General features: G+C 39.3%; 1 protein-coding gene across 7 annotated transcripts in view, besides 2 other annotated features; it reads left to right on the top strand.

The window, feature by feature from the left end:
- Positions 5119-5768: a silencer, noted in NCBI's record as "silent region_7435". NCBI's record gives its function as "represses an Ori minimal core promoter by ATAC-STARR-seq in GM12878 lymphoblastoid cells {active_cell/tissue: GM12878}" and the evidence as "EXISTENCE:reporter gene assay evidence [ECO:0000049][PMID:35858748]".
- Positions 5465-25842, top strand: part of C16orf87 (chromosome 16 open reading frame 87) — a 34578-nt gene continuing 14200 nt past the window's right edge. For 3 of the 7 annotated variants that reach the window (NM_001348660.2, NM_001348661.2, NM_001001436.4), the window contains exons 1-2: positions 5465-5561; positions 12163-12259. In NM_001348660.2, coding sequence (NP_001335589.1) covers positions 5496-5561; positions 12163-12259 — 163 coding nt within the window. In that variant the 5' untranslated portion in view covers positions 5465-5495. Of the gene's footprint in view, positions 5562-5596; positions 6011-12162; positions 12266-25842 lie in introns of those variants that run through there. The other 4 variants (NR_145836.2, NR_145835.2, NR_145834.2 and 1 more) reach the window with 3 other exon arrangements.
- Positions 23359-23428: an enhancer, noted in NCBI's record as "active region_10777". NCBI's record gives its function as "activates an Ori minimal core promoter by ATAC-STARR-seq in GM12878 lymphoblastoid cells {active_cell/tissue: GM12878}" and the evidence as "EXISTENCE:reporter gene assay evidence [ECO:0000049][PMID:35858748]".

Below are 25842 nucleotides of genomic sequence, written 5' to 3'. Positions count from 1 at the left end.
GCTCCTAGGCTACAAACCTGCATAGCATGTTACTATATTAAATATTGTAGGTGATTGTAACACAATGGTATTTGTGTATCTAAATACAGTAAAAATATGGTATTATAATCTCATGGGACCACTGTCGAATGTGTAGTCTGGAATGATGTTATATGGTGCATGACTGTACGTAACATATTTTGTTTATTCACTCATCTGTGAATGGGCATTTGGGTTGTTTCTACCTTTTGGCTATTGTGAATAATGCTGCTGCAAACATTGGCATACAAATATTTGCTTGAGTATTGGCTTTCAATGCTTTTGTGTATATGCCTAGAAGTGGAATTGCTAGATCAAATGGTAATTCTTTTTTTTTTTTTTTTTTGAGATGGAGTCTTGCTGTGTCACCCAAGCTGGAGTGCAGTGGCACGATCTTGGCTCACTGCAACCTCTGCCTCCCGGTTAAAGTGATTCTCATGCCTCAGCCTCCCAAGTAGCTGGGATTACAGGCATATGCCACCATGCCTGGCTAATTTTTGTATTTTTAGTAGAGACGGGGTTTCACCGTGTTGGCCAGGCTTCTTTTTTTTTTTTTTTTTTTTTTTTGAGACAGAGTCTCGCTCTGTCGCCCAGGCTGGAGTGCAGTGGCGGGATCTCGGCTCACTGCAAGCTCCGCCTCCCGGGTTCACGCCATTCTCCTGCCTCAGCCTCCCAAGTAGCTGGGACTACAGACGCCCGCCACTACGCCCGGCTAATTTTTTGTATTTTTAGTAGAGATGGGGTTTCACCGTTTTAGCCGGGATGGTCTCGATCTCCTGACCTCGTGATCCGCCCGCCTCAGCCTCCCAAAGTGTTGGGATTACAGGCATGAGCCACCACACCAGGCCTCAAATAGTAATTCTATGTTTACTTTTTTTAGGAACCTCCAGGCTGCATTTCCACAACAACTGCACCATTTTACATTCTCACAAGGGTTGCATTTTCTCCATATCCATATCCATATCAACACTTGTTTTCTGCTATTGAGTGTTTTTATTATGAAAGGGTGTTGAATTTTGTCAAATGCTTTTTCTGCATCAATTAAAATAGTCATGTCATTAGCTGGTCGTGGTAGTGCACAGCTGTAATCCCAGCTACTTGGGAGTCTGAGGAAGGAGGATCACTTGAGCCCGAGAGGCAGAGGTTGCAGTGAACCGAGATCGAGCCACTGCACTCCAGCATGGGTGACAGAGTGAGACCCTGTCTCAAAAAGGTCATGTCGTTTTCCCTTTCATTCTATTAATGTGGTATATTACATTGATCGATTTTTGTATGTTTAATCATTCCTGAATTACAGAAATAAATCCTCCTTGATCATGATGTATAATCCCTTTAAACTGTGCTGAAGATGGTTTGCTAGTATTCTGTGCAGGATTTTTGGATCTTAAAATTTTAGTGCAAGTAAGGAAGGCAGCATATTTTTCCCTGGTAATTATGATTGAGGGATGCAAATTTAAGTTAGAAACTTGAAAGAACAGAGATTTTACATATTATTATAATATGTTCCATGTTTTCACAGTAATTATTAAAAAGGCAATGAACCTGACATTGCACCTCTGTGAATGGTATAATTAAACATTTTACAAATGTGATAGAACAGTTGGAAGTTTATTTTCCCTGAAAAGAAAATTCCTGCATAGAAAAATCAGAGATCTGAAATCCATTTTTCCACTGAAGATAGTTTAAATTTTAACTATTACACTATGGGCTAAATAGTTAACCAAGTTATGAATGCAAAGAAAAAGTCTTGAAGGAAATTAAATGTGCCACTCCAGTGAACATGCAAATGATGAGAATGAAAAACAGCAGTACTACTGATATGAAGAAAGTTTTAGTAGTCTGGATAAAAGATCATAATAGCCACAACAATCCCTTAAGTCAAAGCCTAATCCAGATCAAGTCCCTAACTCTCTTCAATTCTACAGAAGACTACAGGAGAAAAGTTTGAAGCTAGCAGAGGTTGGTTCTTGAGGTTTAAAGAAAGAAGGCAACTCGGCCAGGTGCAGTGGCTCACACCTGTAATCCTAGCACTTTGGGAGGCCAAGGAGGGCAGATCACCTGAGGTCAGGAGTTTGAGACCAGCCTGGCCAATATGGTGAAACCCCATCTCTACTAAAAACACAAAAATTAGCCAGGCATGGTGGTGGGTGCCTGTAATCCCAGCTACTGGGGAGGCTGAGGCAGGAGAATTGCTTGAACTCGTCCGGGAGGTGGGTGGAGGTTGCAGTGAGCTGAGATCATGCCACTTCACTCCAGCCTGGGTGAAAGAGCGAGACTCCGTCATAAAGAAAAAAAAGAAAAAGAAAAAAAAGAAAGAAGCCATTTCCATAATGTAAAAGTACAAGGTGGGAAGCAAGTGCTGATGTAGAAGCTGCAGCAAGTTATCCAAAAGATCTAGCTAATTCTACATTGAAGAACAAATTTTCATTGTAGGCAAAACAGCCTTTTACTGGAAGAATATGCTACCTAAGACTTTCATAGCTAGAGAGAAGAAGGCAATCAAGGCCTGGCTTCAAACCTTCAATGGAGAGGCTCACTGTCTTGTTAGGGGGCAAGTGCAGCTGATGACTTTAAGTTGAAGTCAGTGCTCATATACCATTCCCCAAATCCTAGGGCCCTTAAGGAACATATTAAACCTACTCTCCCTATACTCTATAAATGGAATAACAAAGTCTGGATGACAGCAAATCTGTCATGGTCTACTAAATATTTCAAGCCCCCTGTTGAGACCTACTGCTTGGAAAAAAAGATTCTTTTCAAAATATTATTACTCATTGACAATGCACCTGGTTACCTAAGGGCTCTGATGGAGGTTTAAGAAATTAATGTTATTTTCATGCCTGCTAATCCATTCTGTAACCTATGGATTAAGGAGTAATTTCGACTTTCAAGTCTTATTATTTCAGAAATACATTTTGTAAGGCTATTGCTGCCATAGATAGCAATTCCTCTGATGGATCTGGGCAAAGTCAATTGAAAACCTTCTGGAAATGATTTACCATTTTAGATAGTACTAAGAACATTCATGACTCATGGAAGCAAGTCAAAATATAAACATTAACAGGAGCTTGGGAGGAGTTGATTACAATCCTCATGGATGACTTTGAGGGGTTCAAGACTTCAGTGGAGGATGTAATTGCAAATGCGGGACACACAGCAGGGTCTCACTCTGTTGTCCAGGCTGGAGTGCAGTGGCACGATTGTGGTTCACTACAGCCTCGACCTGCTGGGCTCAAGCATTCCTCCCACCTCAGCCTCCCAAGTAGCTGGAACTACAGGTGCACATCATGCCCAGCTAAGATTTGTATTTTTTTGTGAAGATGAGGTTTCACTATGTTGCCCAGGTTGGTCTTGAACTCTTGAGCTCAAGCAATCCTCCTGTCTCAGCCTCCCAAAGTGCTGGGATTAATGTTGCAATCTCATGATAAAACTTGAACAGATGAGGAGTTACTTCTTACGAAGGAGCAAAGAAAGTGGTTTTTTGAGATGGAATCTCCTGGGGAAGATTCTGTGAACATAGTGGAATGGCAACAAAGGATTTAGAATATTACATAAATATTAGTTGATAAAGCAGTGGCAGGGTTTGTGAAGATTAACTCCTTTTTTTTTTTTTTTTTTTTTTTGAGACAGGGATTTTCTCTGTCACCCAGGCTGAAGTGCAATGGCGCAATCATGGTTCACTGCAGCCTTGACCTCCTGGGCTCAGTGGATCCTCCAACTCAACCTCTTGAGTAGCTGGGACTACAGGCATACGCTGTCACCACATGGCTATTTTTTAATTTTTTGTGGAGACGGGTTTCACCATTTTGCCCAGGATTTTTAGCCCAATTTTAACATCAACGTGTGTACACTGTTTTTTAGACATAATGCTATTGTACTTTTAATATATTACAGTATAGTGGAAACATGTTTATTATATACACTGGGAAACAACAACAAAAAATTGAGTGTGGCTCTCTTTTTTGCAATGGCCTGGAACTGAACCCCCAGTCCCTCCAAGGTATGCCTGTAAATGGACCAAACAGGAAGCAATTTCGTGGGTTTCATATTAAAAGCTTTAAACATTTATATAACTGTTATTTATACAAAGTGTGCTTACAGGCATTTACTATGTAAAATTGTAACTCATAACTTTGCTTTAGTTAACAATTGTTGAATAAAAAGTTATCAGTGGAATAGCCAGTCTCTGTAATAAATGCATATTGGTAAATTTTCTCTGAGCCAAGTGTACAGTTTGTAAATTTTCTTTCTGTTATGTTTGTTCTGATTGTTTATTAAGTATAACTTTGGGTCTGTCAAATTAAATATTTAAAAGTAAGCTTACGTTTTGCATAGTTGTTTTTAAATTTCACTTTTTCTTTCTTTTTCTTTTTTTTGAGACGGAGTCTCGCTCTGTCGCCCAGGCTGGAGTGCAGTGGCCACAATCTCGGCTCACTGAAGCCTCAATCTCATAGGCTCAAGCGATCCTCCCACCTCAGCCTCTCTACTAGCTAGGACTCCAGGCATGGGCCACCACGCTCAGCTAATTTTTAAAAATCTTTTACTTTTTGTAGAGATGGGGGTCTCGCTATGTTGCCCAGGGTGGTCTGGAACTCCTGGGCTCAAGAGATCCGCCCTCCTCGGCTTCCCAAAGTGCTGGGATTACAGGCGTGAGCCATTGCGCCCAGCCTCGAATAATTTAATTTTAATGTTAATTTAGTAAGTATCAGTCACGGACAGATTGGAAAAAGAAAAACATCTGATCCCTCATCTTGATAGTGAGTAGCACTGGTTTACACAGCTAGGCTGCTCCTTGAAGGCTGACACTGCATTTTATTCAAATTTTCCTGACAGTGGGACTTAGGCAATTATATATTGAATAAATAAATGAATTTTCACTCTGCTGCTGGGTCCAGTGGTCTCATAAAATGTCTATCATAATTTCTCAATGATTAGCCTTGGTAACATCTACTTAAGTTTATTAAATGCCAGGATCCACGCTACGCCCTTCACCATTCATTCCCCAGCCTTCGCTCCCACGGTCTCTGTGGGGATGGGGCGTGCCCAGCACTACGGCCCGCCCTACCTATGCATTCGTTGGTCGAACTCGACGCCCGTTACTGCCGAGTCCCGCCCAGGCCTTGCCCCCTCGTAGTCGGCCAGGCCGAGAGGAGGCGTGGCCACTGCCGCGCCGGGGCGGTCTGGCGGAGGGGGGGGAGGTCTCCCCTCGTCTCGTGATACTCTGGGCGAGCTCGCGGGCGGGCTGTGGGTCGCGAGCCGCCGTGGGAGCGCGTGTCGCGGTCCCCAGGAGCCGCCGGCCGACGCTCCGCCCCGCCCCCTTGGCGCCCAGGTCCCGCGCGAGCTCGCGCACGCGCGCGCGCGCACCCGCCAGAGGCTTGTTTGAGGCCCGCGGGGACTGGGCGGGCGGAGGCCGGGCTGCCGAAGTGTGAGGGGAGGAGCCCGAGCCGTCGCTGCTGCCGCCGCTAAGGGAGAGGAGCATGTCTGCAACTCGAGCCAAGAAAGTGAAGATGGCCACCAAATCATGCCCCGAGTGCGACCAACAGGTGGGTGCCGGGGGCCGGGCGCGCGGGCGGGCGGCAGTGGCTTGGCGGCCGTTGTCTGTGGAGGGGGGCCTCGCCGGGCTCCCGGAGGCCGAGCGGTGGGCAGATCCTGGGGCCCGCCGGCGGCGGCGGGGATCCGGGGCCGGTCGGGCTGCACCGAGGGGTTTCCCGGGAAAAGCCCGGGGCCGTGGCCCGCCAGCGTCCACCTGGCGGCGGCCAGACGGCCAAGCCCCTTCTTGCTGTGTCCCGGCCACTGGAGGAGCGCGCCTTTGGTGGGCTCACCGGGCGGCTGTCTGGAGCCCCAGACTCTCCTCGCCGGCGGCGGTGACAGCGGTGGGAGCCTGCGGGCCGCAGCCCCGGCGAGAGTGTGCCGCACGCCCGCCTCCGAGGCCAGGCCCTAGCTCCGAGAACCCCTCCTGCGGCCGGGGCGGCTTTGTTCCCGGTTCCGACGGGTGCGGGGCTTCCCCAAAACGGCCCCTCCGCGACCGGGGCGGGCGCCTGAGTGGGACAAAGGGGGCCGCGTGTAATGATTTTGAGTTTCGGCGAATTTGGAGATTTTTTCCCCTTCCTCATCTATTTATTATATTTTTGCTGTGCAATCGCGAATCCTGCCTTTACATCGTTTTTAATGGGTCATGATTGAATAAAGCCCCTGTTTAAGCCCTTCCTCCTTTTTGGGCGCTCCTAACTTCCCCACCCCTCGCAGTATCCACTGTTACAAATTTGGCCTGTCTGCTTCCAGATCTGTATCCCTGTCTGTCTGAATGTCTCTGTGTGTCTCTCTCTCTCTCTCTCTCTCTCTCTCTCTCTCTCTCTCTGTCTGTCTCTCTCTATCTCTCTATCTCTCTATCTCGTTTCTTGAATTTGAAACGATTCCTTTCTACATTGAGTTCATGGTGTAATAGTTGTAATTTAAAACATCTCATTTCAGTGATCGCTGTGTTGAAGCGTGTCTCAATTCTTTACTGGAATAATAGACATTCCTTTAAGCCTTAACATCTAATGAGTTAAAACTACTTCAGTTAAAACCATTCGTAAGGCCCTCGTTTGTTACCAACATGTAGATCTGGGTGTGTTTTTTCCTTTTCCACTGAGTGGATTTTTTCAAAATGACTACCTTTCTCTCCTCCCCTCCCCCCACCGCCTTTTTTTTTTTTTAAATCAAGAGTAATTTGAAATGGCTGGAGACTTTTTAATAAGCTGATTTTAGTGCATTTTTCAAGGAGAATTCTTGTAGGTTTTTCAAATCTTTTAACAGAAAACATGTTACATGTTTTATTAAGTATCCTTTATGGGCTGTAGTAAAAATGCTTATCAGAAAAAGGTTGTGCAAGAAATACAGTGTAGGAGCTATACCAGTATGCAGTATAAAAACAGTTTAGTCATGTTTTCCAAAGAGTTACTTTCATTCTTACTACTGAACTAAATTTGTTAAATTTTGACAAAACTGGACTTTGCAATATGACTCTTTGCGGGAGATTATTTCAGTGTTTAAATCATTTCCAATTATTCCAGTTAATTGTGTAGAAGTGTAAGGTTTACATGGTATGCGTTATGCATTCCAATTTCTGTAAGGCACAAGTATTTGCAAATCCTGACTTTGTTCTAATTGGCATAAAGCAACCTTTTGGGAAAAATAGCCACTTTTTATGGCTATTTTTATATAAAAGAGCAAAGGATAATAAACTTATAGGAGTTTCTGAAAAACTGTTCAACAAAACAAGATCAGCGTTTTATTTGGAAAGATCACATTCATTTTGTTATACACCCCCTCCCCCATATTTATTCTTTCATATAAAATCAGCTTACCCAGCTTTGGCTGCCATAACAAAAGCATGATTATGTTCTGGTGAGGGCTCTCTTCTTGGCTTGCAGATGGCTGTCTTCTTGGTGTCCTCACATGGCAGAAAGAGGGTCAAGCTCTCTCCCTTTTCTTAAAAGGTCCCTAATCACATCATGAGGGCCCCACCCTCATGACTTAATTTAAACCTAATTCTCTCTCAAATGGCCCATCTCCAAATACCATCACATTGCGGTTAAGGCTTCAATATATGAATTTGGATGTCGAGGGGTGCATAATTCCACCCAGAGCAAACTAGTACATAATTTAATGAGTTGGTTTGTTTTGTCCTTTATTCCAAATACTTAAGTGAATGTAACATACATAAGGACTAATTAAAACTTTTGGTGATATGAACCTGATGTGAAAAAATAATGGATGAATTTTAGCTTTCTCATTATTTAAAAGTACTAGCTTCTTTTAGTTATAAGCCAGAATATGATTATAATCCAGAAAGCCATTTTCTAAACATTAGAATACTGCTATGATTCTAAGTTGCCTAAAAAAAATTAAATTCGAATTTAGGTATAGTTTATAAACATAAATGTAAAATCTTTAAATTTGAGATTTCCCAGTTGACTAGATTTACTTATGTGGGTGTGTAAGTTTGAAAAATGGGTACAGAGATCAGCAAAGAAGAAAAAGCTAGATTTTCAACTGCTTTGTAACATCTCCTTTGCAGGCTTCTATTGAACATATCATTCTAAAACATCTTAAACCACAGTCCTTTTCATTTTCAAGGGGTTTCATATCCATCAATCACTCAAAATTACTGAGCCATTTTGTGTGCATCAGTGCTCAAGATTCTTGTCAGTTTTCTGGTATCTTTTGTGTATGCTTCTGTTTTTGCCTTCATTTTTAAAAAAAATAGAGCAGCTTTTTTTTAATTTAAAGGACATTTTATGTGATGTATATAAAATATGTCTGGTATAAGTTCCTTTGGTTCTTTCAGTAGTAAAGAATATAAATGAGTTTTCTGTAATGTAATTATTTTGGAGCTTTTAAAAAATCAGTTAAATGGCTGTGTGCAGTGGCTCACACCTGTAATCCCAGTACTTTGGGAGGCCGAGGCAGGTGGATCACGAGGTCAGAAGTTCCAGACCATCCTGGCTAACACGGTGAAACCCTGTCTCTACTAAAAAATTAGCTGGGTGTGGTGGCATGCACCTCTGTAGTTCCAGCTACTCGGGAGGCTGAGGCAGGAGAAGTGATTGAACCCGGGAGGCAGAGGTTGCAGTGAGCCGAGATCGCACCACTGTACTCCAGCCTGGGCGACAGAGACTCCGTCTCAAAAAAAAAAAGTAAAAAAATCAGTGAAACACTATAGGACCAGATTTTTTTTTTTTTCAGATTTAAAAAATCCAGGCTGGGCATGGTGGCTCACACCTGTAATCCCAGCACTTTGGAAGGCCGAGGTGGGTGGATCACCTGAGGTCAGGAGTTCGAGACCAGCCTGGCCAACATGGTGAAACCCCATCTCTACTAAAAATACAAAAATTATCCGGGCGTGGTGACAGGCACCTGTAATCCCAGCTACACAGGAGGCTAAGGAAGGAGAATCACTTGAATCTGGGAGGCAGAGGTTGCAGTGAGCCAAGATCGCGCCATTGCACTCCAGCCTGGGGGACAAGAGTGAGACTTCGTCTCAAAAAAAAAAGATAAATAAATAAATAAAAAATCTGTTTTACTTGTAAAACATACAAACAACCTAAATCTTTTTTTAAAAAAGTGAATTAATGCCCAGTAAACTATCAGTAAACAATACTTTGAATATTTTCTTTTTTTTAAAATCCTGAAAGTGTAATATTAGAATTTCAGTACTGTTAGGTTTAGTATTATCAACTGAAATTTAAAGAAACTTTAGTGTGTTTGTTTAAAATCTAAATTATACTATAATTAATGAAATGAGGTTAATATTACTGAAGTTGTCCAACCTATTTGATAATTCTTTTTACAGGATCTAGGGTGGTGATGGTGGTGGTGGTGTGTTTTTTGTTTTTTGTTTTCCAGGGCAGAGGTTGTGGGGAAGGAACTTTTTATTTTAAATAGGACTATAGAATGAATTAACTCAGACTATAGAATGAATTAACTCAAACTATAGAATGAATTAACTCAGGCACATGAGGGTTTATTGAGCATAAAACACTTTCATTTGTGGATGAAAATCAACCTGTTAATTCAGTTAGTCAGTGTTTGTGCATTCTGGGTCCCAAAGCCAAATGTATACTTCTCATCTAACTGCAACACTGTTAATTCTGGAGATGGATTGATATGAAGTTCTTTTGTATAAGACTGAAACCCAAATTCAAATTTATTGAGTTTCAGTAGCTGGAAGAAAATGCTTGCTGATTAGGAAAGGAGCTGTTGAGTAAGAACATGCATTTGCGTATTTTGGATAGCATTAATTTAAAACAATTTACATTACTGTGGATGCCCTTAATAATATGTTTAGGTGTAAAGGAAATGAGTCAGTGCCTTTGAGCTTGGTTTCTATGAAGATACGAAATTTGAAAAAATGTCAGACATCTATTTTAGACAGATTTTACACTATTTAAAAAATGTAGCATTTTTTTTGTCGTGATTTGAAGGGATCTCATTACATTCTTAACAAAGCAAGCTGTTAGACAAATCTGGAGTTTGATTATTTTTATTGATTTCTTTGTTATTTTTCTTAAATACAAATTGGAGATCCTTTGTTCAATGTTTTTATACAAAGAAAAGGAATTATTCTGCCAAAATTTCAATTTAGCTCAATTAGATCAAGTGTTTAGATTCTATAACATGAGGCATTCTGTACATACATAGATAAAAAGCTTCATAATTTTAACTCAGTTTTTACATAGCAGAACAACTGCCAAATGGGGGAATTTATCTTACAAAGGGAATTGCAGTTTTCTTACTGTAATTATTCTGTAAATACTTTTTCGTTGAGATTAGTTTCAGACTTTTGGTGAACATGTCTTGATTCCAAGGATCATTAACTTTGATATGGGTGAAATGATTATGGGGAAAACTAAAAAATTTTTTCAATGATTTTCAGTAGCACTTGGCTTAAAAAACAGTTATAAGTTTGGAGTAGAGAAAGGAAATTTACGTATTTTGCAGATTTGGAAACAGAAGCTTGAAGATCTTAAATATCTTGTCCGGAGTCATTCCTGGAACTAAGATATAAGATTCTGGATCTAAATTCCTACCTTCTCCTACATTCTCTTTTTTTATGTCAGCATACTTTTGCCCCTCAAACTGGTTGTTGTTAGAAAGAATAAGACCTAATATTTGATAGCACAACAGGGGGACTATAGTTAATAATAATTTTTTTTTTTTTTTTTTTTGAGACAGAGTCTTGCTCATGTTGCCCAGGCTAGAGTGCAATAGTGCACTCTTGGCTCACTGCAACCTCTGCCTTCCAGGTTCAAGCGATTCTCCTGCCTCAGCCACCCAAGTAGCTGGGATTACAGGCATGTGCCATGACGCCTGGCTAATTTTGTATTTTTTTTAGTAGGGACGGGGTTTCACCATGTTGGTCAGGCTGGTCTCAAACTCCTGACCTCAAGTGATCCACCTGCTTCGGCCTCCCAAAGTGCTGGGATTACAGGTGTGAGCCACTGCGCCCAGTCCTATAGTCAATAATAATTTAATTGTACATTTAAAAATAACTAAAAGAGTATAGATTGTTTGTAACAAAAAGGAAGAATGCTTGAGGGGTTGAATACCCAATTTTCCATGATGTGATTGTTACGCATTGCATGTCTATATTAGTGTACCCCATAAACATGTACACCTACTATCTACCCACAACAATTTAAGAATTTAAGAAAAATCTGGTTGCTATAAACTATTCTTTATTCTTTGTCAGTGGTAGTTGATATCTTCTCCTCTCATGTTAGAATCCTGAGTTATTTTCACTTCTTCCCACTTTATCACCAGTCATCAGTTTGGGCCTTTGTCTGTTTTTCTTGCCTTGGAAACTCTGGCAGATCTACCTTTTTCCATTTCCGTTCTCACTATTCCACTTGGTCCTTCATAATCTTTTACCAGGATTACTTTAATGACTTCCTACCCACTCACCCTTTTCAAATTTGTTCTATACCGTAAAAAGCTGTCAAACTAACATTTTAGGAAATGCTACCTTTTTTTCCACATACTTCCCCTTGCTCTGACCCTATTACAGTTTTCTATTGGTCACTCACATCAGTGCATATTTAATACATATTTATTTTTTATGGTATTGGTATGGTATAGTCTTCATGGTTTTGTTAAGCAGTAGAAGAATATGAGTATCAGGCCGGGTGTGGTGGCTCACTTCTGTTATCCTAGCACTTTGAGAGGCTGAGGTGGGCGGATCACGAGGTGAGGAGTTCAAGACCAACCTGGCCAATATAGTAAAACCCCATCTCTACTAAAAATACAAAAATTAGCTGGGCATGGTAGCGTGTGCCTGTAGTCCCAGCTACTTGGGAGGCTGAGGCAGAAGAATCACTTGAACTCAGGAGGTGGAGGTTGCAGTGAGCCTAGATCATGCCACTGCACTCCAGCCTGGGTGACAGAGTGAGACTCCGTCTCAAAAAAAAAAAAAAAAGAATGTGAATATCTATGTGATATGATACTCATCTCAGATAATTTGTTGTAAGGAGTTGAGGTTTAAATAAATACATGATTCCTCCTTCAAGTAATTTATCATTCATTTGAGGAGACCACATAGACACTGAGAAATTTAACAATAGAAAAATAGTAATAATATATATTTTTCTTTTTTTCCTACAGGTTCCTGTTGCATGTAAATCATGTCCTTGTGGTTACATATTTATTAGCAGAAAACTTTTAAATGCAAAACACTCAGAGAAATCACCACCTTCTACAGGTAACTGTGAGTTTAATACATTTTTAGCTTTTTGATGTAGAAATGTAAAGTTAATTTTTGTGAAGTTTCTATTTACATTTTTTGTTGAAGTTAAAAGTTTAAATCTATTCAAGTGTTTTTGGCTTTTATTAACTATTGGAATTAGTTTACGACGTTGGTTTCATGTGCATTCCATTTAAATGTTAAGTCCCTTACAATGCTGATAACGCTTGTAACAAATTTTTTATTTTTGAAGGTGGAGAACCATTGAAAGGTTTTAGCAAGGGAGTGACCTGATCTGATATAAAAACTTTTTAAAAAAATAGCTTTAGTAATAATTGACATTGAGTAAATTGGATGTATTTGAAGTGCACAGTTTGATAAGTTTTGACATATGTATATACCAATCAATCACCACAATCAATATTATGAACATTCATCAATTTCAAAAGTGTTCTAGTTCCCTTTGTAATCCCTCCTTCCTGCTACCTCCACCCCAGGTAACCACAGATCTGCTTTCTGTTACTGTTCGTATTTATGGAATCATATAGTATGTACTCTTTTTTGCCTGGCTTCTTTCACTGAGTGTAATTATTTAGGATTCAGCCATGTTGTATGTACCAATAAGAGTTCATTCCTTTTTATTGCTTAGTAGGAGTCTTTGTATGGAGATTTGTTTATCCATTCTCCTGTTGATGGACATTTGAATTTTTTCTCTCATAATGGTGGTAAAATTTGCAGCAACTTTTAAGTTTTGTTTTTTTTTTAAACTAGTGACCGTTGAAAAATATAGCTTGGTTTTGGTATGAAAAACGTTTTTAGACATGTTGACTATGTTTTACAGTTCCCTGACTGAGGATATCCAAATAATGATTTTGTTTGAACTTGTTGCTTTTCCATTAACGTAGACAAATTGGATTTATTCAATAGACATATTTATTAATATTAAAAGATACAATTTTGTTACTTATTCTTGGCTAAAAGCAGACCTTCATATGGTGGTGACCTCGAAATAAGAGTAGGTTCATTACAAATATATACTGAGCACCTGCTATATGCTAGACACTATTCCAAGCCTTGGGCACAAAGCACTGAATTCTACTGTTAAGGCAGATTTACTGGTGTCATGGAGCTTATATTCTTGTGGGTGGGAGATAGACAGTGAACAAATATACAGAGAAAATGTAACCTTGTGATAAATGCTTTATAGTCCTATGAAGTGACTGGAAGGCTACTTTTGATTGGGTGGTTAGAGAAGGCCCCTATGAGGAGGTGACATTTAAATGGAGTCTCAGTGGATAGAAGGGGCTAGCCATGATAAGATCAGGGAAAAGAACATTCTTGACAGATGGAAATAGCAAGTGCAAAAGTTCTAAGGTTGGAAAACATTTTTTATATTTTAGGAACAAAAAAGACCATTGCGATTGCAGTGTAGACAGTATGATTAGAAGAGTGGAAGATGAGTTCACAGGGCTAGGCAGAGGCTAGATTGTATAGGGCTTTGTAAACCAGAGTAAGAAGTTTGGATTTTGTTTGTAAACTGTGAGGAGAAACTGTCCCTGAGATGGGGTGGGATGAAGAGAGGAGAAGATGGCATCCTCTGATTTGAGTTTTAGAAAGATCATTCTAGCTGCTGTGTAGAGAATAGTTTGTAGGGGTACAAATATGGAAGTGGATTATTGCAGTAGGCTAACTAAGAATACTGAGTTAGACAAAGACTGATGATAGTAGCAGATGATTCAATAATAATTTTTATTTATGTCTGAGAGGTTTATTTATCTTAGGTCTATATAGAAGTGGCAGGAAACTTGTTTAGTTCCATTTCTGTCACTGTTTCAGTTCTCTTCTCATCATGAGAATGAACATAATTCACTGGTTCTTAAAGGCGGTTGCTGGGTTGGCTGTATAGGATTCATGCAGAGAACTTGTTAAAAATGCATTTCTGGATCTTACTCTCTGAGAGTTTGGTTTAGATAAAGGAACCCTGAAATGATGATTCACTCGGTAGCTATTTTGGGGTGGCGTGTCAGCTCAGTGCTGAGTTTCTAAAAATGAATAAGACATGGTCCTTGTTCTTAGGGAGACAAAGTGCTTATTTTTTTAATTCAAGTATTTTTGAGCTCCTTTTATGTACCAGTGATTCAGATGAGAAATGAGTTAAGAAAGTCAACAAAGATAAAAGAAGGAACAGGGCCAGGCATGATGGCTTATGCCCATAATTCCAGCATTTTGGGAGGCCGAGGCAGGAGGATCGCATCAGCCTGGGAAGTTGAGGCTGCAGTGAGCTGTGATTGTACCACTGTATTCTAGCCTGGGTGACAGAGTGAGACCTTGTCTAAAATAAAATGAAAAAAAGGAGGAACAGATGATACAAGTGTTAATGAGTTGTTAAGTTTAACCAGTTAAACCAGAGGGAAGAATTTAGAAGATTCCCAGATCTCTGACTTGGATTGCTAGTTAAAAGAGAATATAAGAGGGAAAACAAGCTGTGGGGGAAAGATGAAGAATTTAATTTTGGGTATAGAAACATCATCCGTGTAGATTTTTTTTTCAGTTGGACATATAGTCTGCAGCCTCAGCTGCAGGTAAAACTTTTGAGCCATCAGTGACTAGATGGTAGTTGTCATCATGGAAAATGGATGAGCTCGCGGTGCAGAGTTTGTAAGTTAGGAAGAGGAAGGCATTCAGGGACTAAACTGTGACAGACACCAATTTTACAGACAGGTCAGATCAACTAAGAAGAAATGTCAGCTGTAGGAGAAAAACCAACAGCACAATGTTATGTAAGTCATGGCGATGAGTTTTAAGAAGCAATTCATTATTATTTTGTATTTGGAGTTTCCTGAGATTTCCTTGTTTAGTAAGAGTGGTCTTTTGACTTTGAAGTGAAGATGAAACATTGAAGCCCAGAAATCCCTGCAGGAGGAGGAAGAACCAGCAACAAAACCAAACCAGAAAGGAAGGAGAAACATCAAGGATAGGCTGTGCCATAGAAACCACAGGAGGAAAAGATTTTAGGGAGAGGATTAAGAGTATTCAAAGCCTCAAAAACAGTTTGGTAGAGTACAGACGTGGGGGTCAGAAAACCTGGCTTCAGATTCAGATTCTGTCCCTTTCTAAGCAGCCTAGTTAACCTCCATGAGCAACTGTTGTTTGTTTATAAGATAGATTTATAGTACCAGTGTTAGAGGATTGAAGTACATATGAAAATGTCTAACATTTGCAAAGCATGGTAAGTTTTAGGTACTCAGTAATTCTCGTTTTTACAATTAAATTTCTTAGAAGTAAGATTTGCCTTGGATAATCCCATGGTATGTAGGGAATTGAGAAGAGTTTAAGGTCACTACAATTTATCAAGTGCTTAATGTCGTCAGTGAGATATAGAACATTTCAGTTTTAAGGAAAGTAGTGGAGAATTAATAGAAGAAATGAAAATATACACTATATATCTGAAAGATAACCAACTTCACTAATTATCAGGGAAATGCGGTTGAAACAAAATGCCATTCTTTTTGCCCACAGTTCACATAAATGTAAAGAATTTCTAAGTACTTTCATGAGTATGGCAAAATGGATAGTCTCATACTGTTGGTGGGAGCATTAGTTGGTACAGCCATTTTGGAGACCAGTCTTACCAGTAGTTGTTAAAAGGTTTAAATACACATAACCTAGAATGCAGAGCTCTTAATCAGTAGGTAGGTAGCCTAGAGAGCCTAATTGTTTATATACACAATGAAGCATTTACTAGGGTTTTCAAGGCAACACTTTATAATAGCAGAAGGTTGTTAGTAAGCCAGATGTAATCAGTAGGGGAATGGTTAAATTAAGTAGCTAAATTATCTTTTAGTTAATAGTATGTGCTAGTTTGAAAGAATGATACAGATTTTATGTACTGAAATGGAAAGATCTCTAAAACATTGTTAATTTAAGGAAAAACTGCAAAACAATACTTGGATATGAGCTTGTTTGTTTTTAAAACCCCACAAAATGATTTCTACATGTAGTATTAATAAGTAAATACATAAATGGATAGATAGGTAACTATATAACAAGTACAGAGTCAAGGAAGACTTGTTTGCATAAGTAAACATCTTTTTAAAAAAACTATAATTAAAGCTCATTGATTTTAAAAATAAAGCTGTAAAAGATATTTTTAAAATTTCACTAGGTTGAAAGCTCTTATTCAATTATTGTACACAGTTTGTGATGTGCAGGAAGAAAAGAATCTGTTAGGCTGAATAGATTTAGCTAGATATGAATTGTTTAAAAGTCATGTTTTTCATATATGCCAATCAATTATTTATACCTTCGTAACATGCAGAGAAATAGGGAGGTGGTAGAGTAAAACTATATAGAACTTAGCGTAGCTGAAAATATGTATATATAAAATCTATTACAGGAATTAATGAAATTTTTTTTTTTTGAGATGGAGTCTCGCTCTTGTTTCCCAGGCTGGAGTGCAATGGCACAATATTGGCTCACCACAACCTCTGCAACCTCTGCCTCCTGGATTCAACCCATTCTCCTGTCTCAGCCTCCCAAGTAGCTAGGATTACAAGAATGTGTCACCACACCCGGCTAATTTTGTATTTTTAGTAGAGGTGGGGTTTCTCCATGTTGGTCAGGCTGGTCTCAAACTCCCGACCTCAGGTAATCCGCCCGCCTCGGCCTCCCAGAGTGCTAGGATTACAGGCATGAGCCACTGCGCCCGGTGGAATTGAGTTTTTTAAAGTTTAAAATTAATTTGTGTGAGAGAAAGAGATGCGTGTTAGCAGTAACACTGTGTTAAGAAATGCTCAGCCGGCACGGTGGCTCACGCCTGTAATCCCAGCACTTTAGGAGACTGAGGCGGGCGGATCATCTGAGGTCAGGAGTTTGAGACCAGCCTGGCCAACATGGTGAAATCCCGTCTCTGCTAAAAATACAAAAATTAGTTGGGCGTGGTGGTGTGCACTTGTAATCTCAAATACTCGGGAGGCTGAGGCAGGAGAATCACTTGAACCAGTGAGGCGGAGGTTACAGGCTGGGCACAAGGTCTCACACCTGTAATCCCAGTGCTTTGGGAGGCCAAGGCGAGCAGTTCACTTTGAGCTCAAGAGTTCGAGACCAGGCTGGGCAACATGGCGAAACCCTGTCTGTAAAAAAGAAAAATAACAAAAAATTAGCCAGGCATGGTGATGTTAACTGTGGAGGGTGTCCAGGTTCTTGGTGTCTTGAACAAAGAATTGGACGAAACACACAAAGCAAGGAAGGAATGAAGGGATTTATTGAAAATGAAAGTACAGCGTGGGAGTGGGCTTGGAGCATAGGGGCTCAAAGGCCCTGTTAGTTACAGAGTTTTTGTGAGTTTAAATACCCTCTTTTTGGGGCACACCCTATGTAAAAGGAGAGGATGAAGTAAGGTTACAAAGTCATTTACTTGGCCTATGCCCTATGGAGAGGATGAAGTAAAGTTACGAAGTCATTTACCTGGCCTATGCCCTATGAAGAGGATATTTCCTGTTATAGCTGAAGTGTGAGATTGCCTTAGTTCCCTGCCTCCAGACCCTATTTTTCTGCCTCAGTGGTGTGTGCCTGTTGTCTCAGCTACTTGGGAGGCTGAGGTGGGAGGATTGCTTGAGCCTGGGAAGCAGAGGTTGCAGTGAGCGGTGATCTCACTACTGCACTCCAGCCTGAGTGACAGAGTGAGACTCTATCTCAAATTTAAAAAGAAGAAAATTTTAATTATAAAAACTATAGAAGAAAAAGTAAATTTCTAAATGGACACTAGTTCATAAAATTTAGAATTTAAAATTTAATAAAATTTAAGATTTAGAATTTCCTGTAAAGGAAAGAAAAAATAGTTGAGACAGTAGGAAATTATAATTGCTTATTAGTATTTTAACTATGAAATTTTCAGTGAGTAAAAGGTTTAGAGTAAGCATAGTCAAATAAATAACCTCCTCCTTTTTTCACTGGGAGAAAGAAAAAAGGGAAAAAAACCCTCAACTTAGTTTTCAAGTTATTCTTTAATATAAGTTAATAGGCTAAGGCTGATAAGCAAAGACGTTCATAAGTGACAAGTTCACTTTTAGTTAAGGGAAAAAAATGGAGAAATGATTATCACCTGTACCTTTTATAAATCCAAAGTGATTGAGTATTAATTCAGTAGTATAAGTGGTCCTCAACTCTGAATTACTTGACTGTGGAGGTTTGGTTCTGTTATTCAGAAAGTATTGTTCTTTACTTGCTGGCCAGGGGCGGTGACTCATGCCTATAATCCCAGCACTTTGAGAGGCTGAGGCAGATGGATCACTTGAGGTCAGGAGTTCAAGATCAACCTGGCCAACATGGTAAAAACCCATCTCTACTAAAAATACAAAAATTAGAAAAAAAGAAAAGGAAGCATCTTCCCTTACATGCTAATTGCATAAAAGTGCTGTACATTCCTGTATGGAACATGGCTTTTATATAGTTGATTTTTGTGGTTTTTTTTTTTTTTTTTTTTTTTGCTTTTTGATGAAAAAAATGCATACCTTTACCTCTGAGCCTGTACTTTTAGGTTCTTAATCATATAGTCTATGATATCTATATTCATCTTTAAAACACTTTTCATAGAGTTCTTTGACTTCTAATTAAGACTGATTGTTTTTAGGTCTGCCGTACAGCTATTGTACTAGGATTTCTTTCCATTGTACTCCCAGGATAATCCCACTCTTTCTTTCTTTCTTTATTTTTTTGAGACAGAGTCTTGCTCCATCACCCAGGCTGGAGTGCAGTGGCCTGATATCGGCTTACTGCAACCTCCACCTCCCGGGTTCAAATGATTCTTCTGCCTCAGCCTCCCTAGTAGTTGGGATTACAGGTGTGTGCCACCATGCCCAGCTAATTTTTTTATTTTTAGTAGAGACAGGGTTTCTCTATGTTGGTAAGGCTGGTCTTGAACTTCTGACCTCAGGTGGAGCTGCCCGCCTCTGCCTCCCAAAGTGCTGGAATTACAGGGGTGAGCCACTGCACCTGGTACCACTCTTTCTTACATACTATGTCTTTGTTCTTTTTTACCCATATGTTTTTACTTTTGGAATAAATTTCCCAGAAATTGTTTTATTTCTGGAAAAACTTTTCCAGAAAAGACATAATGTGCATTTCCTATCTTCTGTTGTGGAGAGTGCCTTTGTTTTGCATTCACACTTTAATTTTGTTCTCATTCTTCCTTGGCATTCAGTGGGTCCTTTCCATCTGAAAGCTCAGGTCTTCAACTCAAGGTGGTTTCTATCCATTATTGCTTTTCCCTCCATTTCCTTTTCTTTTCATTCTGGCATGCCTATAGGATCATGTTAGGATTGCCTTTTACACTGTCTTGGAAACTGACACTGTATTGGAAGAAGGATAAAGATAGGCAGTACAAGGATATTGGCTCAATGATGTCATCAAAGACTTTAGTCTCTTCTCTTTCTTCCACCTTAAGAAGACGTGGCTTATCCTCATGGTTCTGAGGTAGTTCTTATTGCACATCTAAGCATCCTATACACATTTCAAGAAGGAAGAAGAGGGAAGAGCAGAGAGACAAAGGGACATGCCAGCTATGCTTCTTCCCTTGAAAAAAATCTTTCTGGAAACCTTACCCAGTTTCACTTACCTGTCATTGGCTAGAGCTAGATGCCACCTCACCTGCAGGGAGAGTCTTGAGAATGTATACCTATTTTAGGCATATTGTCCTCTTTAACAGAACAAGATTCTGTTCTTAAAGAAGATGGGGAGAAAGAATAATGGGTATATAATTAGCAGTTCTGTCATAGGGATATCTATTAGGTTTCTTGGATCTTTCCTTTATTTTTCTTTACTTTCTGTCACATTCTCTTTTTGTCTTTTTGCTTTATTCCAGGAAATTTTGTTGATTTTCCTTTCTACATCTATAATTTTGTCATCAAGCGTGTCAAATTTAGCTTATTAGCACCTACGCTTTAGCAGGGTATCTTGTTTTCTAATTTATTCTTTTTCATAGAATTTTGAAAATACTTTTATTGTGGGAAAATATAACAAAATATTCTATTTTAACCATTTATAAGTGTATAGTTTAGTGGCATTAAGTGCATTCATATTGTATTCTTAACCATCACTACCATCCAATTCCAGAACTTGTTTTTCCAAACTGAAACCGTGTACCCATTAAACAATGACAGCCACTTCCTTCTCCCCCATACCCCAGGCAACCACCATTCTGCTTTCTCTGTCTGTGAATTTCACTGCTCTAGCCATCTCATGTAAGTGGAATCATACAATATTTGTACTTTTATGTCTGGCTTATTTTACTTAACACAGTGTCCTCAAGGTTTCATTCATGTTGTAACATGCATGACAATTTCCTTTTTAAGGTTAAATAATATTCCATTGTATGTATATGCCATATTTTGTTTATGTATTCATCAGTGGACACTTGGGTTGCTTTAACCTTTTTGCTATTGTGAATAATGCTGCATGGTATACAAATATCTGTCCTGATCTCTGCTTTCATTTCTTTTGGGTATATGCCCAGAGGAATTGCTGGATCATATGTTGATTCTATTTTAATTTTTTGAGGACTGAATTTACTGTTTTCCATAGCAGCTCCATTTTACATTTCTACCAGCAGTGTACAAATGTTCCTTCCGGTTTCTCTACATCCTCACCAACACTTTATTTTTTGGTTTTGTTTTGCTTTGCTTTTTATAATAATCTGAAGAGTATGAAGTGGTATCTTGCTGTGGTTTTGATTTGCATTTTCTTATTGATGTGATATTGAACATCTTTGCATGTGCTTAGTGGCCATTTATATATCTTCTTTGGAGAAATACCTATTCAAGTCTTCTGCCCATTCTTGAATTGGGGATTTTTTTTGTTGTTGTTGTTGACTTGTAAATTCTTTATATTATTCTGAATATTAATCTCTTATAATAATTTGCATATATTTTCTCCCATTCCATGTATTGCCTTTTCAGTCTGTTGATAGTGTCCTTTGATACACAGAAGTTTAATTTTGATGAAGTCCATTTTGTCTGTTTTTTTTTTTTCTTTCATTGCTTTTGCTTTCGCTTTTGGTATCATATCCAAGAAATTATTGCCAAAATCCAATGTCATGAAGCTTTTCCATGATTTTTTAAACAGTTTTATGGTTTTAGTGGTTATATTTAGATATTTGATCCATTTTGAGTTAATTTTTGTGTATGGAGTAAGATAAGGGTCTAACTTCATTTTTTGGCTAGTGTGAATTATGCTACATTGTGTAGATACCCAGTTTTCCTGTTACAACTTGTGGAAGATACTGTACTTTACCTTGAATTGTCTCAGACTCTTATTGAAAATCCTTTGACTGTATGTGTGTGTTTATGTCTGAGGTTTATTTTTATTCCTTTGGTCTGTATATTTGTCTTTATGTCGGTACCATACTGTTTTGATTATTATAGCTTTGTAGTAAGTTTTGAAATCAAGAAGTGTGGGACCTCTAACTTTGAATTTTTTCAAGATTGTTTTGGCTACTTGGAAATCCTTGGGATTCCATGTGAATTTTAGGATGGGTTTTTCTGTTTCTGCAAAAATAATCTTATTCTTAATGATAATCTCCTTTCAGATCTCTCAAGGTATGCATTAGAATGTTTTAATTTTTTGTTTGCTTGTTTGTTGAACTATCTTTGTTCTTCCTGTTTTATTTTGGCTCTTCTCTTGACTATTATTTTCTTCTTATAGCTAGTAATGTTTAATTGACTGTTGGTGTGATACAAATGAAGGACTTGGTTTATCAGTGTAGGTAAGTTTAATGAATACCCTACACTGTTTTAAACGTCTGTTTTGACAAAAGGTCTCTTCAGTGTATAATTGGGAGTTTAGTGGCAGGAGGTGAGCAGGCAGTACACTGGTGAATTCCCTTATTGCCAAAATAAGGCAGGCTTCATTCTGGGGTGGAATGTGAAATCTCTTACAGTATTTCATTCCTGTGAGGAGCTGGCTTTTTCCTATATTATGGAGGTTTGAAGTTCTCTTGCACATTGCTCTGTTCCTGAGAGCTTCCTTATGTCAGTTGCTCTGTATACATAGGCCCAACTGTACTGCAATAGTCTCTAGTTATTTTGATGATCACCTTGGTGGCCTGCTCTCCCTTACTGTACTTTTTGTCCTGCCCTGGGATTATCCTTGAGAATCCTCCTTTGGGAGGAACAGCTCTCCGTTCTATAGCAGCTATCACTTACTCCTATTTTTGGATTGTAGTTTATTTTATTCTTGTTTCTTATCAGAACCATCAGGTTGCCAGTTTGCTGAAATTCTGTAATTTTGGGTCATTAATAGTACCTTTTTCTTGTTTCCAGCACCACAGATATATTTTCCTTTTTCTCCTTCCCCTCTTCCCATGTTTCTTCTCATTCAATGGGATTTTGAGAAGGTGGTAAGGTAAATGTGTGTCCTATCCGATTTTATTTATTCAACAGTCTGTGTAAGTAATGTTCTGGGTTCTGCAAATAAGGTAGGCCAAGGATTCCCAAGTTTCATAAAGCCTATATTTTGATGGAGGAGACGCATTGAGCATATAAGTAAATAAATAACAGATTATAGCTGTAGTAGATTACAGGAAGTAACTTGGGCTGGGAGAATCAGAGCAAGTGACCTGTATATGGATATCTGAAGAGAAAAAAAGGCTTATCTTATGAAGAGCCGTGGGAAGAGAGCTCTAGGCAGAAGGATTAGCGTATACATAGACTCAGCGGAGGAAGGAGCTCGTTTTATTAAAAGAAAGGCACGTCTGGAGTGTAGTGAACAAAGTGGTGAGCTTGAGCATCATGAGACTGGAGAAAGAGGCAAATGCCAGATCTGTTGGGGACTTGTCTTTGGTAAGGAATTTTTAGTTTAAATATGGAAAAAAGCTTATGAAAGGCTTTAGAAGGGAAGCTATGCAGTTTGATTTTTTTTTTTTTTTTTTTAAGATAATATTGGCTGGTACGTAGAGAATAGGTTTGACTGGGATGTTGCCTGTGGAGGTGGAGAGAAATGAAGAGATTATGGGTATATTTTGCAAGGAGTATCTGTGGACCTTAGCGATGGTACAGGAAGCAAGATGAGTCACAAACGACTACAAGTTATTTGACTAGTACAACCAGGTGATGCTATTTACTAATATGATGAAAGTAGTAGGAGTAACAGATTTGGGAGAGGGAGAACCAAGAGTTATTTTTTGATACAATTTGAAATGCCTTTGAGACATTCAAGTGAAGTTGTCAGGTAGGCAGTCTAGAGTTTAGGGAAGAAATCAGAGCAGAAGGTGAAAACTTTGGAGCCATCATAACAATAGTGTTTAATGCTGTGGGTTTACGAGATGATCTAGGCAAAGTCTAAGTAAGAGAAGAGGGCTCTGGACAGAATCCTGGGGCCTTGACGTTAGATTGGGAAAGCACCTAGGGGAAGGGCACACAGCAAAGGCGATTAGGAGGAGTGACTGATGAGGTGAAGAAACTGGGGGAGCCTGAGAATCAAGCAAAATAATTTCAAGGAAAGTAGTAGTCATCTTTGTTGAATTTTTGAGAGATGGTGTAAGATGGTAAGTGAGGTGTCTATTAAGATTTGGTAACAGGTTTTTGTTGTTTTTGACAGTCAGTTTCAGTGGGATAGGAACTATACTGGAATAGATTTGATGAGTGAATGGGAGATGAAAAACTGAAGGCAGAAAGTACAGGTACCTCTTTTGAGAAGTTTGGCTGTGAAGAAGTTTGCAGAGATGACTGGGTAGCTGGGGGAACAAACCCAAATTCAGTGTTAGACTTTAATAGGCATACTATTTAAAGCTTCATCTATCACTAGTTCTTTTAACCTTTATTTTTTTGAGAAATTCTAAGCATATGCAAAAGTAGAAAATGACCAACCCTGCCCCATCCACAATCCTGTCTACCTCTTCCTTTGCATCATTTTGAAGCAAATCCCATATAATTTCAGTTATAAATATTTCATTATGTTTCCAAAAGATGAACATTAAAAAATGTAAGCACAATGCCATTATAACATAAAAAATTAATGATAATTTCTTATTAATAAATATCCGACTTGTGTTCACATTTTCACTTTTCTCAAAAATTGTCTTAGAATTTTAAAAACAGATTTTAAATAAGGTCCACAAATTGCATATGGGTGCTATCTTATTTATTTATTTATTTATTTATTTATTGAGACAGAGTCTCGCTCTGTCACCCAGGCTGGAGTGCAGTGGCACGATCTCAGCTCACTGCAGCCTCTTCCTCCTGGGTTCAAACAATTCTCATGTCTTGGCCTCCTGAGTAGTTGGGACTACAGGCGCACACCACCATGCCTGGCTAATTTGTATATTTTCAGTAGAGATGGGGTTTCATCATGTTGGCTAGGCTGGTCTCGAACTCCTGAACTCAGGTGATCCGCCCCCTTTGGCCTCCCAAGGTGCTGGGATTACAGGCGTGAGCCACCACACCCTGTCATTTGTTTAAGAACAGGGTGTCGCTTTGTCACCCAGGCTGAGACAGGGTCTTGCTATGTGGCCCAGGCTGGTCTCAAACTCCTGGCCTCAAGCAATACTCTTGCCTCGGCCTCCCAAATGCCTAAAGTGCTTTTGGATTACAAGCATGAGCTACTGAGCCTGGCTAGATTATATCTTTTTTAACCCTCTTATTATCTATTATTTTCTCTTTTTCTCCTTGCAAGTTAGATGTTGAAGAAATGGCATCACCTGTCCATTTGTATGTGCTGTTTGTATCCCCATGGTGTCACTTAACATATTCCTTGAATAACCTCTTTTTCCTATTAGTTGTAAGTTAGATCTAAGGGCTGGAGAGATTGGAATTTTTTTTTTTTTACAAGACTACTTAATAGGTAGTGATGTGTACCTCTATCCAGAGGTGCTTAAAGTCTGCTTCTCTCTCTCTTTTTTTTTTTTTTTGAGATGGAGTTCATTTTTGTTGCTCATGCTGTAATACAATGGTGCTATCTCAGCTCACCACAACCTCTGCCTCCTAGGTTCTAACGATTCTCCTGTCTCAGCCTCCCAAGTAGCTGGGATTACAGACACGTGCCACCACACCCAGCTAATTTTGTATTTTTAGTAGAGACGGGGTTTTGCCATGTTGGTCAGGCTGGTCTCGAACTCCTGACCTCAGGTGATCCACCCGCCTTGGCTACCCAAAGTGCTAGGATTATGGGTGTGAGCCACCGCGCCTGGCCTGCTTCTCTCTTTTAGTGATGTTAGTACCTGCTGATGTTTAGTGCTTAGAACCTTTAGTTCATTGCAGGTTGAAAAATGTTGATACTCTGATTCTGTCATTCCTTCTTCATTTATTAGCTTTAATATGAGAAACCTCTTCATTTGCCCTTTGGTTACCCCGTGAGTAGCACAGTTTAAATAGAAAAAGCAGAAGAAATGCTTTGTTCTTGCCCTATATTTAAGTTTTCAAAGTAATGAGTTGGTTCTTTAGTATCTTCGTATGGTGGCCAAGTAGTTTTTGTTTTTAATGTTAATGTACTCATATGCTTGATATATTTCAATCTGTTACAGTTACTATTTTTATTGATGCTCAAATTGTCCTGTAATAGTGGGAGCCTCTTCATGTTAGCCCAAGTCTTAACAACACCCTGCTTGTCTT

This window comes from Homo sapiens, chromosome 16 (assembly GCF_000001405.40).
Source record: "Homo sapiens chromosome 16, GRCh38.p14 Primary Assembly".
Taxonomy (NCBI): Eukaryota; Metazoa; Chordata; class Mammalia; order Primates; family Hominidae; genus Homo; species Homo sapiens.
The sequence above is the reverse complement of the archived record's forward strand: the minus strand, read 5'-3'. Positions and strand labels throughout refer to the sequence as shown.